The sequence below is a fragment of the Homo sapiens genome, chromosome 4 (genome assembly GCF_000001405.40).
Source record: "Homo sapiens chromosome 4, GRCh38.p14 Primary Assembly".
Taxonomy (NCBI): Eukaryota; Metazoa; Chordata; class Mammalia; order Primates; family Hominidae; genus Homo; species Homo sapiens.
Window position 1 is genome coordinate 27,255,888 of NC_000004.12, and position 18,793 is coordinate 27,274,680.

The 18,793-nt window shown below is 38.3% G+C and overlaps 2 long non-coding RNA genes across 2 annotated transcripts in view; one reads left to right on the top strand and one right to left on the bottom strand.

Annotated features, from left to right (window-relative positions):
- The window catches only part of LINC02261 (long intergenic non-protein coding RNA 2261), a 64,747-nt gene that overhangs the window by 38,409 nt on the left and 7,545 nt on the right, over positions 1–18,793 (top strand). The gene's annotated exons all lie outside the window — the stretch shown is intronic.
- Positions 6,619–11,454, bottom strand: LOC124900842 (uncharacterized). The gene is made up of 2 exons (XR_007058438.1): positions 11,337–11,454; positions 6,619–7,236 (listed from the first exon to the last, which is right to left on the bottom strand). It is a non-coding gene; the product is annotated as an uncharacterized LOC124900842 (long non-coding RNA).

An 18,793-nucleotide genomic window follows, 5' to 3' on the forward strand; every position in this document is an offset into this window, starting at 1 on the left:
AAATCTGTTTGGAAGCTTTTCCAACTGAGCAATCAGTGACCTGCTACTTCCTTCAAGATTATGAAAACTTCTGGTGACAATTGCATGGGATTCATCTTTGGAGGATACTTGAGGAGAGAAGACAGAGTTAGTGCAGTTGAAGATGTACTGAAAATCCGGGTAAGCCCCCAGTGATTTGTGCTCTGGAGAAACTGATGGTTTTATTTCTCTTGGTCTGCCAAACATGTCCACTAACCTTAACAGAAAGGCATAATTCTCGAACTACAATCATTGACCTGTTGAATTAAGCCTGACTTCTAAAAGATACAGGTACTTCAAATTCAATAGGCCACAAATTGTACTCCCTATACCCTTCTACATGCACACCAAAACAAGAAACACTTTTCATTCCTCATTTTCCACTATGATTTCATTATTATTATTATTATTATTATTATTATTATTATTATGCTTTAAGTTCTGGGATACATATGCAGAATGTGCAGGTTTGTTGCATAGTATGCCATGCCACGTTGCATAGGTACACCACATGCCATGGTGATTTGCTGCACCCATCAACCCCTCATCTACATTAGATATTTCTCCTAACAGTCTCTCTCCCCTTGCCCCCACCTGCTGACAGGCCCCGGTGTGTGATGTTCCCCTCCCAGTGTCCATGTGTTCTCATTGTTCAACTCCCACTTATGCGTGAGAACATGTGGTGTTTGGTTTTCTGTTTCTGTGTTAGTTTGTCAAGAATGATGGTTTCCAGCTTCATCCATGTTCCTGCAAAGGACATGAACTCATCCTTTTTTTATGGCTGCATAGTATTCCATGGTGTATATGTGCCACATTTTCTTTATCCAGTCTATCATTGATGGGCATTTGGGTTGGTTCCAAGTTTTGCTATTGTGAACAGTGCTGCAATAAACATATGTATGCATGTGTCCACTATGATTAATGTTATCTAATTATTCAAGATAGGAAGTAATTAGAAAGTATCCAAAATTAAGATGATTTTTGCTTGAACTATTCCTACAGGCCCTAACTCTTCTATCTTCTCCAAATGTTATATGTTATCTATTTCTAATCCATTTCTAATATGGGTTAGAAATATCTTTTTGAAAATAAAAAATAAAATTTTATGGCTTCTTATTTTCTAAAGGACAATTCAAAACTGCTTTATAAAAGCCTTTCATTGATCTTATCCTAATCTACCTTCAGAATTTCTGAAGTCTCATTACCTGTCACCTCTTTTCTTCTTGTTTTCTTATTCACTAAAATACCCTCAAGGCTTAGAATGATACCTGGGACATAGTAGGCACTCAATAAATTTTGTTTAATCAATTTCTTTTTACCATTGTCATTGTTATCCTCTTTCTTTGCTTATGAAATTGGTCTTTCTTATTTTCTTCTTTTTTGTATCAGTTTCTAAATCTTTTTCTTCTTCTTTTAATTCTAAATATGTTTGTGTTCATCCATATTCTTCCTGGTTTTCAAATCTATGTGTGAGTGCATCTTCACCTCTGACTTTATCCCTTGAACTTTAATAACAGAGTATTTGATTAAGCCTTTCTTTAGATTCGTGTTACTTTTGTCAAGGAAGATAAAAGTAGTGTGTTCACTTATAAGATCATAAATGTGGTCACACACTGATATTAGTAAGAATGACCCTGAGCCACAGACTAGAAGGGCTAGACTGCAGTATTGGTTGATGGGAATATGGACCTTTTGCCTACTTATTCTGATGTCTCATAGTTTGGCTTCTACTAATGTTCACCTGCTGCTACTATCCTTGCTAGTCTCCATTCAAGGGTCCAGTTTTTAATCTGTCACTGTGGTTTCTGTGGCTGCTAAAGTTAATCTCAACATGCTGGTCATCTTGCTGGTGCAAGGAGAATGATTTTCTCTCCCATCAGCAACTTTGTTCTTCCACTTAGCTTCTTGTAGATTTCAAAATGTGACAATCACTTTTCTTAATTACCAAGAGGTCAGGCTTACTTTTTAAAATTCCTTAGAGCCCCTTGCTGTAACAATTGAGCCCTGTACCCCTTGGGTCAGGGTAGATGTTACAAAGAGTCTCTCCAGTCAAGCTCCTCTGAACTCTCTTTTCAGTTAGGCCTAGACTATTGGACTTAAACATCTATCTTTGCATTATCCAATTTTAGCAAAAATCCTCTTAAGTCAGTTTAGAGAGATCCCTGCATGTAGATATCCCATCACCTTAATATCTGATCAAATTCCTTATCCTCACAGTTCTTGAGGTGATATCTGATCACCCTGGCCTGGCTTCAGCAAGAATCCTCTTAAGTCGGTTTAGCCAGTATCCTCCACAACCCTAATGTTTCCTCTATCCATCCACTGATACCTCACTCTACACCTTGGCTATAAATCCCCACTTTTCCTTATCATAGTTTGAATTGAACTCATTTCTATACTGAGGGCTTTTTTTGTGTGTCCTCTATCACAATGCTTTCCAAATAAAATCCGTTCTTACCACTTTACTGTCAGGTCTGTTTTTTCATCAACAGGGGACATTTTGGATAATACCTTATATGGTTTTATTCAAAGGCGTACCCTACATTTAGTCAACAAATGGAGCCTAAACCTTTTAATTACCTCGGGGTGATTTTTCAGCTCCTATGAGACACTCCCTGACTGATCATCTTTCTCTGTCCTCTAGATTTTGATTGGGATACTAAATCCTATTGAACTGGGCTCAATGACCCTTTCAGTTTTAGGAAGGAGAAACTACTGTGGCTATTTTTTTTTTTTTTTTTTTTTTAGCAGAAAGAGGTTTAAACCTAGGAGCTTAAGAAATCTTTGGAAGTTGATGTGTTTTGGATGTGGCTGGGCCCATGGGAATATCCCTGGAACTAATGCACTAGACTGGTCTCCCAGGGAAGCTGCTTCCTCTGCTAGGAATATGGGGAATTAAGAGGCCCCCCCTGGAGCTGTGGTCCTCATGAACACCCCAGTTTGGCTGTGGTATAGGGCCAGTTTCATGACTTATCCCAACTTCTGTGAGGCACAGGGCTGGATGTCAAATGCTGTGGCAGTAAACCCCAACATTTGCCACAGGAAAACCAAAACAGCAGGAAGAACTCCACCTCATGCTCAACTTCTAAAATCTCATGTGAGTGTTTATAATGAGCAGAAACTAATTTGTATTCAGAAATCTGTCTTCAAGGGAATATGGGAGATATAGCTTTTAACTTTTTGCGGTACAAGAAGGAAGCTGGTGTAGATGACAAATGAGCTGAACCTCTGTAATTCATCACAGGCCCATGTCAAACATCAGGATTAGACCGCTGCTTCTCACTCAGACTCCAGACTTCCAAAGGCATGGCTGGAAAGTGGGCCACATGATCTGCAAGCAGATGTATCCCATGGTATCCCACTTCCCAGGCACTGCTGTTGGGCAGGGAGGAATCTCTGACTGAAGGCCAGTGAATTCATTGCTTCACCAACAGATAACCAGAATCTATCTCTTGGGAATTTGAACTAAGCAGAGGCACATAGCAGAAGGTCTGACTAAAAAGACCAAATTTGAAAGATCAGAGGCTGGGGTCCCCATGGTGGGCCTTGTGTAACATAAGTACACAGAGGCATTTAGGAAGAGAAACAAGAAAAACAGAGCATATAAACAGATACAGAAATAGGCCTCTGAGGAACAGAAAGAGAAGTCTCAGTTTCTGAATTTCCAGAGAGGCCCGACTACGTTTAGTTTCCTGCCTTTGGATATTGTAACAACCCCTACTTCTGTGTTTTTCTTGAACTAGTTTGAGTGAGCTTCTGTTCTTTACAATAAAATTGATTCAAGTAAAAAGGTACAACTTTTGGATGCCATTTACTTATATATTAGCATTTTGTTGGGGAAAAATTCCTCACACATACTTATTATCCTTATATGAATTTTCTAGCTTCTCTACTCCTGAAGAGAAGGGAGTTTAATGTGGGTTAAGAGAGGTATTTGGCCAATCTATATTAATCAATCTATCAATCTATCTATCTATCCACTTACTCTAACAATATCAAAATACTACATATGTGTGCACACATGCACACACACACACATGTCTCAGTTTTCCCTTATGTGTATCTTGAAGATAATAAAAACATGTTAGAAGTCCCTCCTCTCCTCCCCATTATCTGTGGAACATTGACTTCATATTGCTTTGGTGACAGATTATAGGGAGCGTTTATCTAGAAGGTGTTTTGTGGTCTGTCTACAATGATGTAAACTGTTCTGCAAGAGATGCCTGGTTCAAATGTCTAAACTGGCTTTATCCATAAACATGATTAAGTTTCATAATAACCATGAAAACAAAATTTTCAATAGGAGTTAATCGTGGCTTGGATAGGTATAAATGTTAGTGACTGGAACAGATGAGCATCTCCTTTTAAGATAATTGCTTGTACGAACGATGAACAAGGACATCTAAAAGCCATTTCATGGGGAATTTTTTCCATTGACTCTTTGCTTGATTTTAACTACATGCAAAAAGCGCTTTAACCCAGCACCTTGGAAATAGTCATTGGGAATAGTTCATCATCCTTTGCTTGGCAGACAGACATTGTGCTTTAAAGTACAAAAACCTGATCTCTGTCTCCTCTGGGTAGAGCACACTGTATTTTAAAAAATTTATACCCTCCTTTGTTTTTAGGGAAAATAGCATACTTAGGCCCATCTGTGGTGTCAATTACAAAGAAATGTCTGCAGGGAGACGGCCTTTCAGAGATTCTGGAAGGCTAAAGGTAGAGATACTGTTCACTCCCTGTTGAAGATGTGGCCTTTCACAGTGTTGGATGCTGTTGGGAGTGATCCAAGAACCAGCAGAGCCCAGTGTTAGTCAACAGCCTCTTCTGTGGATATGTAGCTTTTCTGAGATAGCAATGAAAAGTAGCATAGCAAGGTGTTTATTTATTATTATTATTATTATTTAATGTAGATAACATCATTGGCAGCTGAATTCCCAAGATCAGAGAAAAACCATGTGAAACCTTCTGCATCTGTAGCCTTTTGTGTGTCCCTTGCTTACCCTCTGATTTGTGTCTGGTGGTGTGTTAGACAACAAATGCATTTGCACTCATTTTTAATCATTGTGGTAGTTGGGTTAATTTTTTCTGAATGTGCTGTTTTTATTGAACTGCACAAGTCTCCAGATTTATAATGGCCAAATCTGCAAGGACTATAGGCTTTCATTGTTTCATTTGTTTGTTATTGGCCAAGTTCTTAGCAGAAAACAAAAAGAATTCTCAGTTGATACCTAACTATAAGGGAAGAAAGAGATTTAAACTGAGTTTTGGGGAATATTCTTGGGCAACGCAAAAACACAGATGACATTATCATGGGTTCTGCTTGCAGGGGAATCAGAAGAATAATGGTAATGATCTTAGTAAATTAAGATTTTAAAAGTTGATTTATCCTTCTTGCCATTTTAATCCTTTTTTAATTTATATTTATTTTTTAACATTTGGGATATATGATATGTAAAAAAATATTCTTTTTCTAGGTAACACAGCTGGGATCTCATTTATGAAATATTTGATATACTCAATAAAGACAGACAATGATTTGCTTAATTCTTTTGCCTTAATGCAAATGGTTCAGTACAGAGCTTTGATACATAATCTACACCTTTGTTTATGTGTCCATATAAAACTATGGAAATCTAGTATTAAGCAAGTCACATTTCTCATACTTAATGTGTTTTAAATAAAACAATTTTTACTTTTCCCAAAGTTTCTTGGTCTTTTCTAACTATATCATCATTTTATTAAAAATAATTGAATGAACTATGATAATGAAGCAGGCTTGTGAAATATCTCTCCTGCCTTGAGTTGTTCACTTGCTTGCATGACTTTAACCTGTTTTGAAGGCATATTAACAATAATTAATAACCTCAAAGGAAAAGGTGAATAATAAGTAGCAAATTTAAACAGATGGCATTATAGCTAAAATGTGTGCAGTAGGAAACAGAAGGGCCTGGTACTCAAGAGAAGATAATTTTGAAACATTTTCTTTCTCTTGGTATATTGTATAACTGAAACACTCTCTCATGATAGGCTTTGAAGAAATCCTCTTAGTTTAAAACCTCTGATAGGAATGCCCAAGTGGGATTCTTTAACCACAGACTCTGAACTATATCTCCTGATTTTTCTATAGAAAAATATCAGTGGGGATTTAATAAAAAAAAAGAAGATTAGAAAGAAATATTTTCTGACATGAGTTGTTTTAACAGAATATGGAGAAACTGGGGCCAGACTGAGGAAGTTCAGCCCCTTATTGCTCTCAAAAACTTGAGAAGTTTTCTGAGGTTCCTGAAGCATGAGTAAAATTACCTCTTTTTTTTTTTTTTTTGCCTGTCAGTCACTGTTTAGTAATAAAAGCACCTGTGATTGAAAATGTCATGGCAATTACTAGCTGGAAAATTCTCCTAGAAGCTTGTTAATAACACTATTATTACATTAAAAATTACCAAAGTGATATTTTTGTTACTTTTTTTTTTTTTTTTTTTTTTTTTTTTACTAATAAAGACAATATAGTCTCTTCTTTTAATTCATTGCATACCTTACAGATAACAAAGAGTAAAGGGTGATGGTCAGGTAATATGTATGAAAACACAGACTGCAATATGTACAGAATATTATTTTATTATTTTCTTTTTAATTTAACAAGCACTTGACAAACTCTGCATGTGACATCAGTTCTAATTCTTAGACCCCAAAACTTACACAATAATTCTGACCATGAAAATGAAGCAAATTGAAAATATTTTATGTCATTCTTAAGAATATGCTTGGAAACATCTTCCAGTAATGAGCCAAAAGAGGCTAAAGTATCAGTATTTTGGCCTTCAGGTTAAAACAATTTAGAATTCTTAGTTTCTTTTCCTTTTTTTTTTCCTGATCCTGGAAACATCTGGGAAGTTAACAGAGAAAGCCTTCAGCCTTCTCTAAATGTGACAGAATTCTTGTCTCGGTTGATTAGGAAGTTGAGCCACAGTAATGAATGAGAACACCTTTGCCAAAGGTGATTTGCACAAGGTCCCTGTAGGTTAGTACAAGTCTCACGGTAAAGAAATGTTCATCTTTGTGGAAGCTGATTCTAAAATATCCCTGAGGAAAGAAGAATGAAGGATCCAGACAGATGAAGGAGGCCATCTGGATCAGGCAAAACAAGCAAAGAGAGGACTTGAGGCTTTCCATTTCAGGCACGTTGCTGAAGAAACTGGCATCCGGCTTCAGAAGTACCTAAAAAAATCAGAGATAAACAACTAGGAAAAGCCACATGTGCCTTGATATTGTGTATTGCACTTATGACAGAATTTAGGAAGGCCTTTCACAGCATCTAGGCCTATATTATTACTGTACAGATAAGGAAACTGAGGATAAGTTCAGAGTTAGGTCTAGAACACATGTCTACCAGCAGATTTCACATTGCAATGCAGAATTAGGGATAAGGGAGTAAAATATTCAATAAAGTATTTCTGCATATGCTGCCCCTGTTAAAGATCAGCCATTATGCTCTAACGAAGTCCAATTGAAGAAAGATAGCTCAGAGAATTTGAGTATTTGAAAACCTTACACATGAGTGTTCAAATGTGATAAGGCTTGGCTCTGTGTGCCCACCCAAATCTCACCTTGAATTTTAATAATTCCTACATGTCAAGGGCAGGGCCAGCTGGAGATAATTGCATCATGGGGGCAGTTTCCCCCATATTGTTCTTGTGATAGTGAGTGAGTTCTCATGAGATCTGATGGTTTCATAAGCATCCGGTATTTCCCCTGTTGGTACATTCTCTCTTTGCCTGCTACCATCCATGTAAGACCTGACTTGCTCCTCCTTGCCTTCTGCCATGATTGTGATTAAGCCTCTTCCTTTTGTAAATTGCCCAGTCTCTCATATGTCTTTATCAGCAACATGAAAATGAACTAATACAAAATGATAAACAGATCTCTAGACAACAAGAGGCCAGATACAAACAAGGAGTCACCAGTTGTCTGAAGTTCTTCTGTGGTTCAAATTCAAGCTAATGCTTGAGTACTGGACTCAAGCAGGGGTCCTGAGAGTTCTGGCTTAGTGTGGGTATGAAGCCAGACTTGCCACAAGCCTGCAGGTGAGGGGTCAGGAATTTAGCATCCTTGGGTTTTGCTGAGCTTTAGAGCCCGTGCCAACAGAATGTGCTAAAGCATCGACTTAAAACTATTGGTCTGAGCAGTAGAAATTGAGTATGAAGCAACCAGGTAGAAACTGGATGCAAGAGAAAGAAAAGCTAGATTAAACAGAAGGTTATGGGGTGACATTCTAGAGACTTTTAAAGGACAGCCTGATGCCATACCAGGTGGTGGAGAAGAAAATCTTCAGGGTGCTAAATCAGTCTAGACTTTATTGTTGGTGATCATTTCAGAGGAAACTGAGTTAGGAGATGAAGGAAGTGTGGTGGGGAATATGTGTTAGAAGGTTTGCTTTGAGGCTTGACTTGGGAAAATGTCCCTGGTCCACTGTGTAGGTGTGAGTCGAGGTGGTTAGAATACAAGACGATGACTGGGAAGAACTGTTGACTGTGCCTTTTTCATTCAGACAATAAATATTCATGAGCATCAATTTTGTGCCAGGCACTGGAGATACAACAGTGCCCATGGCAGAAAGGGCATCTGTCTTGATGGTGCTTATTGTATTTAGAAAATGCCATAAGAAGATAGATACATGAATAAACATAAGTACAGATGTAAAATGAAAGAAATAAAAATGGGATATCACAAGGTGAAGAGTTTTTTCAAGAAGATGGTGTGGGAAGGTCTATCTGAATAAACATAAGTACAGATGTACAATAAAAGAAATAAATAATGGGGTATCACAGGATGGAGAATTTTTGAAGTAGAGGTTGTGGGAAGGCCTATCAGACAAGATGGTGTATAATCAGATGAGAAGCATTGATCTGTTTTAGAAGCAGAAGAAAAGCATTTCAGGCATAGAAAAGAGCAAATAAATAGGGACTGAGGGAGGAAAAGTTTCACGTTGTTCTAGGAACTGTCACAAGACCATTTGACTGGAGCATAGCAGGCATGGGGGAAAATAGCATGAGGTGAGTTTGGGGAGGCAGGCAGGGAGAAGTTTGTAAGGCATTATGGGTCTTGGTAAGTGTGGTAACCACTCTCCTGAATGGTCCCCAATGATACACTGTGTGGTCCTTTTGCACACTTTACCAGGATTAGTCTTTGTTACCAATAGAGTATGGCAGAAATGGTGATATGTGACTTCTGAGATTGGGTTATAAAAAACAATGTGGCCTCTCTCTCTTTCTCTCTATCCCTGTGTGTGTGTGTGTCTCTCTTTCTTAGATCATTTGCTCTGAGGGAAACCAGTGGCTATCTTGTTAATAACCTTATGAGGAGGTTCACCCTGTGAGCCTCACGAGTAGGCTTGGACATAGGTCCTCGAGCCCTAATCAAGCCTTCAGATCATTGAAATTCCAGCCAACAGCTTGATGGCAACCTCATGAGAGACCTGAAGTCATTAAGCTAAACCCACTTCCAGATTCCTGACCCTTAAAAACTGTGTGAGATGAAAAATTGTTGTTGTAAGCTGCTAAATTTGAGGTCATTTGTTACCTAGCAATAGTAACTCATATTGTAAGGACTTTGGATTTTGTTTAAGTACAATGTCCTTTAGAAAAAAAGGAAAGAGAGGTCTTGGAAACTGTCACTAACTTGAAGGTTGACCAAGTAACCTTTTGAGATAGTGTTCAGTGATGATTTGCTGGACCCCTTGCCTTTAGACAGTGATATATTGTCTCCTTGTGTTTAGAACTCTAATACCAATAGAATCAAGAAGTTGTTCTATTTGCAGTCTCCTTGAAAACAAAAGCAGGACTACATTTAAAGCTGTAATAAAATAATGTTATTCTATTCAGTCCCAAATGTTATCCTTCCTAGACACTTGGTACATCATTGTCTACTCTAATCCAATTCAGTAAGCATTTTTAGAGAAACTTTTTTTTTTTTTTTTTTTGAGACAGAGTTTCACTCACTCTGTTGCCCAGGCTGGAATGCAACAGCATGATCTTGGCTCACTGAAACCTCTGTCTCCCAGGTTCAAGCAATTCTCCTGCCTTAGCCTCTGGAGTAGCTGGGACTATAGGCATGCATCACCATGCCTGGCTAATTTTTTTTTTTTTTTTTTTTTTAGTAGAGATGGGTTTTCACAATGTTGGCCAGGCTGGTCTCAAACTCCTGATCTCAAGTGATCCCACTGCCTTAGCCTCCCAGAGTGCTGGGATTACAGGCGTAAGCCACTGTGCCCAGCTGAGAAACTTTAAGAGACAGTTCTGTGTTTAGTGTTGTGAGGCCAGGCCTATGGCCAGAGTCACAGTTCCTGTCCTCTAGTTACTCACAATCTAAGGTGGAATTGGATTATTTTATATTCTGTCCAAATTGGTGCTCTCTCCCTTCTCTTCCCTAACACTTGATTCTTGTTTTTGATAAGGATGCTGAAACTGCAGAACACCAACAGACGAAGACTGGTCTAAGGATTTTTTCTTTCTTTTTTTCCTAACAAATACAAGTACTATCTGTATTGTTTCCAGTCCTATGTAGAAATTGAGATTTTCTGACCTGAGGAGATTGGGTCAGGAGTTTATAAGCTTTCTTGTTATTAAAGTGGTGGTAAGTGGGTTACTCTGAAGCTTGTAGCTAAGTCCTTGTTGAGGCAACTGGTGATTAACCTAAGGTCAGGTCCATTGTCACATCCAGTCACTCTTTTATATTACCATACTTAGGGCATCGAGAGACAAGCTTTACCCTAGTTTTACATACCATAAAAAGCAAGTAAGCATGGTTTAAAAACATGCCTTGAACATCTACATGCATCTCCTTTTGTTGCAGATGTTCTCTCTCTTTTTTTTTTCATCACCACAATTCCTCCTCTGTCCCCAATCTGGCCCCTGGTAACCGCCATTCTACCCTCTGCTTCTGTAAGTTTGAGTTTTTTAGATTCCAGATAGAAGTGAGATTACCTCGTATTTGTCTTTCTGTGTCTGGCCAAAAGTCTCTCTCTTAGTGCTATACAGAGATCTCTACATACCTTCCTTTAGAAAAGTAGACAATGAATACTTTCTCTTAGTTCTTTCTGATATCTAAGAGAAGCAAAAAACCATTGCCTGGCAGTGACAGGATATCTAGGAGAAACAAAAACCATTGCTTGGCAGCATCAGGCTGATTATAGGAATATTTTTTTCCCCAAGGGCCTCCTAAAACACAAACACACCCAGAACAAATACTAATATATGGCAAAACCTGATAGCTGTGCCACTGAAGGTGCATATTTCAAGGTGCCTTTGAGATTTGGGTACCTCATTTTGGAATTCTGAGCAGTCTTCATAGGCAGGTCCATCATCTCAGTGGAGAAGGAGGTCAGCTGGGTGCACCGAGGCAGAACTGACTGGCTAAATTGCCAATGGCCGCAGAATGATCCAGCAACAGTCTGAAGCCAGGAGGACAGAAACAGCTGTATCCAAGAGGCATTGAAATCTGTCTCTAATTACATTCGCCCAATAAAAGCTTGGTTATTTACCATTGGAGAGATGCTCATAACAGCATTTACATCTTTCATCCTTCCAAATAATTTTGCCAGGTTTTTTTTTTTTCTTCCCCTAGGTTTGAAGGGCCAAATGTTGAGAAAGCACATTTCCAGAATGTCCTGTTTTTTGTGTGATGCAATGTAAAATCATCTAGTAATTTCAGATGCTAAGGAGGGATGTCTGCTTCTTGAAAAAGAGAGTGAGTCTGTTCACCAGGACTCCACTGTGTCTGTGTTGTGGTCCTGGGAAGATTAACCAGCCACAGTTCTTCATTTATCTGATGGCAGCTAGCCCGGGTTAACATTCAGAGTGAGTCCTAGTGGTAGAGGTTTCCGCAGTCCAATGGTGCATAAGTACTATTCCATTAGTAGTGGGAGCAACATTTACAGGTCAATAAAGACTTCATAAAATGCTTTATATGCTGATGTCAGCTAGCACCTAGCACACACGGGTAGCCATTAAACTGGTGCGTTTGCTGAACGGAGTTCATTTTCAGAAACTTTTCAATGAGACGTTCCTAAACAGAAGTGTTAGCACAGCACACAGGAATTGTACTGTTTTCTGAAGCCTCAGTCTTAGCCCAACTGCCTGATTGTAATTTGAAAAATGGCATTTAGCAGTTTCTATATAGATAGCATAATGGTTACTATGATTAGCTTCAGAACCAGACAGACTTGAGTTCAATGCCATCTTTGTTTCTTACGTGATGTAAGCATGAGTTCTTTAATCTTACTGAGCCCGGATTTCTGTCGTGTGTCACGTGGGGAGAATATTACAGCTAAAGCAAAAGGAGAATGCCTTTTCACTATTCTTGATTCCAAGGGAGACATAGTCTTGGCTTTGATAATATATGTGAAGTGCTTAGAATATTGTCCAGTTCACATTAGGCATTCCATAAGTGGCCATTATCATTATTGGAAGTTATTCTGACTCCCTGTGTACTAATTGGGAAATTGAGGGGTGGCTGATGTTATTGCCGCTTACTCTATGACTTGTGAGAGAGCAGAGTTAGACACAGTTCTTGCTTTTCAGTCTGATGTGGTTTTCACAGTTCTTATTTACCTTAGATGGCTTGGACTGAAAAAATCCATGTAGGAGGCATCCTTGCAGATCATATATTAACAAAACAAATAGAACAAATTTCTTCTTTTTCTCTTAAAATAAATACTTTGTATAGGCCGAGCTACCCACTCCATCTTTTCTTCCTTCCCATCCTTTCTCAACCCACATAGGCCTAGCTTTCAGTTACCCATTTTTGAGACTGGGGACCTGTCAGTCAATATCTGCTCACCTCACATGCTCCAGTTTTCTTCCATTAGGACACAGAAACATAATTAAATGGTGAGTAGGAATAAAACACAGAATATATTATTTTCTGTTTCGTTTTGCTGCTTAATTCCTTTCAAACTCATTCAGCATATTGGTATGCCTGAGAAATAGGTGACTAGGTGATTAGATCTCATTTACCTCGTCGTCTCTGATCAACTGACAATAATTTTCTGGGACATTGTCTTCTGAAGGATTTTCTGATTATGCGTGTAGGTTCAACAGTGAAAAATCATAGTGGCCAATTTAAAATGACTGCTATGGGTGCAGAAAATGAAGGAGAGGTGGTGGTGTTGGTACCGGGTATTCCATCCATGCCTTAAGATACTGGGTTAACAGCAGCGTGAGAAAGTCTTTCAGAGCAGGAGTCATTGCTGATCCATCTTGATAAATCCTAACATACATTTGGTGCTTTGCATTTTGTTTTTCAGATTTATTTATTTATTCAGCAAATATTTGTTGAGTGCCTACAGCATTCCAGGAACCTTGTTATCCAACTAGAAAAGTGTGTTCCCCTGACAATATACAAGCTGTACTGAATTCAGTAGTTTACCATTTCCTTTTTCTATCTCTTCTTTATTTCATTTCTGAATTTCGTGTCAGTTCATGCCTTCATTATCTTGACCTGAACTGTTATAACCATGGTTTTCTAGGGAAAAACCGAGTACCCCACTCCATCAACTGCCCGAGGTTTTAAAGCACATTTATAAGTTCTCCCAGGGGAGAGAAGAAGCAATAGTGAGGGAGAAGAGAAAGCAAGGAAGGCCAAGTGGTAGAAACCAAGTTGAAAAGTACTGCCATTGAGAGATTACTGGGAGAAAAAAACGAGTTTATTTGGAGATAGTTTTCAAATAACCACAGATACCAAGAAAGACAAATTTTCTCTTGGAAAATTTCTCTTGGAATTTGGTAGATGGGCACACCCACCTTCTTATTTTTATAAGCTGTAAAAGCTTATGACTGTGACAGTCTCCTAAATGGTGTCCTAACCATCATCTTACACTATCCATTCCATCCTGCCCACTGTTTCTAAATAAGTTTTTTCAAGATGTGCACCTCCAGTCATGTCACTCCTCTGCTTAGAGCTCTTTGATGGCTTCCATTGCCCACAGTAGAAGTTTTTGTTAGAAATTATCAATGCATTAGGATAACTTGTAAACTGTGTACCACATATCTGCTATTAGCTGAGTTTCAGTGTTAAAGATTGGGAATAATTTACTTTTTAAGTGTAAATTTTACAATTTTGAATTCCATTATTCTTTGGGGTTGTGAATGATCAGCAGCCAATCTTTTCTAAGTTGTGGGCTACACCATGTGGCATTTCCCACCAGTGCTTGTCATGATGTCATTGTTATTATTTCACTCAGAATCTGGGATTGTCCAGGCATATGTATTCAACATTTCACCATCAACTGTCATAGATTTTGCAGTAGAATAGCCTCTAGCTGATCAAATAAAGTCCAGACTTTGTAGAGGCTTTGTGATGACCCTCTATTCTCATCTTGTTTATCTCTCTAGACAAATCTTTGAGAGTTCCACCTCTTACTCTGTCAAAAATGTTTTTCTACAGCCCCTCCTTCCAATCAATTTAATGAACCCCTCAAATATTTTAAGATCACAATTCAATTCAAGCATTACTTATAAGGTCTACCTTGATCCCTTTCTCCCTGCTTCTGGTAGAATTGAGTGATCACATAATTGCACAATAATTAAAAAAATGAGGACACCTGTCTCTTCATTTCTTATTCATTTCATCAGATCCCAGTAGAAAGTACCTATTGCATCAGTCAGGATAGTCAGGGCCTGCTGTGAGAACAAACAATCCTCAAATCTCAGTGGCTTGCCACAACAAAGGCTTATTTGTTGCACCTGGTTCATGTTCATTGTGAATTGGCTGGCATCTTTCTCTACACCATCATTCAGAAATTCAAGGTGAGTCAGAGTCCACTGTCTTAGACACCGCTGGTTATTGTAACAGAGGAAAGACAGGGTCTCACAGAGGCTACTCCATCCCACTGTTATTTGTATTTCTGATTCATCACTTATAACTATTAGCATGACGCTATTCAAACACACAAAAAAGCCAGGAAACACAGGATTATCCTATGCATGTGAGGCAGAGAGCAAGAAATATCTGGCAAATATTACTTATTATGACCACATTTGCCCAGATAGAAAGCAATCACGGTATTCCCTAGAGTTATGGAGGGGCCTATTTTTCTGGGCACATTTGTGTGACATATATGGACATACTCGGCTGTTCCTTAGCAAAGAAGAATAACTGATAATATACAAGGTGTGCTGTATACAAGGTATGTCTCTGTCACACCTTGTGTCTTCAACTCCTACAGCCAGGTTCAAGGGTTGGGGGTTCTAGAAGCTTCATAGAACACATCCTGTTTCTATTTCTATGGATATCCTAAGTAAGCTTTGCATATCTAAAAACTCTTTGTGAACCATTGTGCTGGGAACTTCATATATAACATCTCACGTCTCGTCCAATAATCCTATGAGGTAGATATTGTTTTCTGGACGGGGAAATAGAATACTAGAGAGGATAAATAGCTTGCTCAAGGTCACAGAACTAAAATGTGGTGGAACTAAATTTAATTCCAGCCTGTCTTCTGAATCTGTAACTTTTATTTTTCTTTTTACCTCTGCAGCATTGTACATGAAACCCAGGGAAATATATTAACTTCCTTTAAAGTTAAATGTATTTTAAACTTGTACCTAGTATCATCTGAGGGTGCTCTAACTCTTGGTATGTTATATTCTGATATGTAAACCACATTTCTTATTGTTTTAAACATTTATCTGTCTGCATTTTTAAGGGAGAATATCAAGGGTTTATCTTCTTACACAGTCCTGTTCTGACAGCATGAGGGCATTTTGTAGTGACAGTGAGTTTTAATTCAGAAAAATGGATGGGACAGTGATTCTCCTGCAGTAAGAGATTTATACATATTTCCTTCTCTCTGTTAACGGGATTTATTCATCAGCTCTGAACAACACTTGCCAAAGGCTGCACTCTCTCTCCCCTCCATCCCCCGAAATAGGTATTGGTATTTAATAAATAATCATTGTTATGACTTAAAACGCTCGTTATAACCAGATGAAACAAGGCAATTGGGTTTTATTTTTAAAGCAATGAAAAGGAGTTAGTTTATTGCATCTCTTTCAGAGAGCTTAGGTGGGGGTTTCAGCCACAATGATGCTACTTTATTATGAATTTCTATCAGTTGGATAGACTAAAATTAACATTTGATGACTTCTTCATTGATATCTGACATTTTTTCATAGGCAGACTCTAATAAAGAAGTCAGTTAGAGCTATTAGACATATTTTAGAAGAATTTTTGGTGCATATCTTCACTTAGATTATGAAATTTAAATCATTGCTGCTATCAGTTTGAATGCTAATGATATAGCCTGCCAGATGGAAACCTTTCATAAATTTTCACTTTTCTCTTACAGTGGGTTGTAAATCTTAAGTAAATGACTTCTTGGGTGAACTATGTTGATGTCAGCTTTAGTGCCTTATGTCCACACTAATTTCAATGTCATAAGTACCTGGAAGGCAGGCAACTCTTAATTAAATGCCATTTTCTTTGTGCATTATTGAGCTAGAGCAGAGTGCAGACTCTCCTTACATTGTCTGTGGCTTACTGGAGAATAGCTCTGCTCTCGCTTTGTCACAAGTGGGTTCTTTTGGAGCTATTTAAATGCTTTGGTGTCATGCAGCTTCTCCTGTCTCAACTAAAACTGTCTCCCTCAATGTGTCTTTCAGAGAGTAAAACACTGTTTCCTTAGCCTTTTGTTCTCCATTTTGACAAAACACATTCTGTAGGTTCTTGCCTTTTTTAACAATTTTTTTCCTCCAAAAATTGATGTTTTAGTTCTCTTCAGGAGTGCTAATCTCCATATGAGAACCACACTGGATAAAACTCCTTTTTTCCCTATGGGGTTATATCAGTATTCAGACTAAATCTTCTGAAGGACTTTTCTACCAGTTATGAAGAGTTCTGATAACTTGTGCCTGCTTATTACTTAGATTTCTTGGGAATTTTTTTATTACAAATATTTTTTTTCATTTAAAACTGAGCCAAATTTTGAAAAATATTATCACTTATTTTTTTTTTTTAAACAGCAGACAAAACATAAAATTAAATGAAAGATTGTTCAAACTTTTTATTCCTTGGAAGCCCAAAGGAAAGAGATGATAAAATCACAAGAAAAATACTTAGGTGAGCCAATAAATATTCCCAGTAGAAATCTCAGAAATCCTACAGGTAAAACAACTTTTTCCAGTTATTGAGTTATTTTCTCAGCAGTTGTTTATTTATTGATTTGTTTTGCCATTAAACCTACAGACCAAGTGATAAATGTGCTTCCTCTGTTGTTACAATGTAATGCATTGAGCTTTTCTTGAAGCTTCATTAAAATTATATCTAAAGCACCGATTATAAGAAAATGATTAATAATACAATAACATAGAGCAACTGTTCTGTGGGGCTGCTTGGAGTTACGAGTTTTTCATCAACTCTGTTTTGTTCTCTGCTTCTATCCATGCAGGGAAGCAAACGCTCGTCACCATGTTTTCTCATCAAGCAACAGGAACCATCATTCTGTAGAAACAAAGGCACCGACAAAACATTTCCAACCATTAAAATAATTTTCCAACATGGTTTCAGTAATTAGTGTATTTCATTTTCAACAACTATAATTAAACCTGACCTTTAAGCTAATTATATCTTGACATTTATGATTTTAAACTGGCTTTCCCTGTGGTGACAGTGTGTTAGATTCGGGTTCTAATGCACAGTTTTGTAGTATTTACCTGTTGTCAAAGGGTCTCTGTGTGGCTCGAAGGGGACCATTTCACCCAGCGTCCTGTTATTGGAGGGCTAATGGTGCCACCAATGGTGCAGAAGGAATATTTTCTTCTACAATATACAGATGATGCTGAATTTTTGTAAAAGTGTTTGGATATAATTACACTCACGGCAGAATCCCTGCTAGAAAATTTCAAAGAACAGGATGAAAATTAACTCAGAGTCTGAGTGTAGATCAAGTGGCCTTTTTTTTTTTTGCATATAACAAGCTGCCATAGAAGAAAAGTTGAGTCAAAGTGAAACTGGGGAGAGAGGAGAACCCAAGATGGCAGGCCTGGTCTTGTTGGTTTCCATTAAGCTTGAGCAATGATGGGAATGTTCACTGTTTTTTTTCCTTTTGTCTCTCCTAGGCTACTTCCAAATTAGCTTTCCTTTTTCCTGATAATAAGAAGAATAGCTAATATTTTCTAAGCCTCACTGTGTGCCAGGCACCATGTTAAACACTTCACATGTCTTATATTCATCCTTTAGCAGTCCTTGGAGGTATGGAATCCATAGCCCCTTGATTTTCTTCAAGTGTCAAATGCCAGTACTTGGTGAAACAAGATGTATTTTGAAATGTTAATGTTCATGTTTCTTTTTCCCCATTTGTCTTATGTGATCATCCACTGTTTGGTCAGAGGCATCCATACGGCTTTTAAGAATGAGAATAAACAGTCAGGTTTGCTTTTCTTACTTCCAAAGTGGGTTCTAAGGGAAGCAGTGCCACAATCAGAGAAGTGGAAAGAGGATAGAGTAAGAACTAGAGAGCCAGGCTGCTCATCGCCTCACCTCCTTGCATGAAAGAGAGCTGGAGCAGGGAGGATAGGTGACCTTAGTGGAGGGGAGGCAGGAGAGAAGTGAGTTCATGGGAAATGTGGTGCAAAGCAAGTGAAGACATGTTGTGGGGTGGGTAATAGGAACAGCCAAGCAGAGTACTAGAGAGTACCCTGGAAGCTCAGCCTTCAGAGGCAGACTGCCAGTGGGGAGAGGACTGGCCATATTCAGGCAGGTGGAGGAGCTGGCTAGTGGA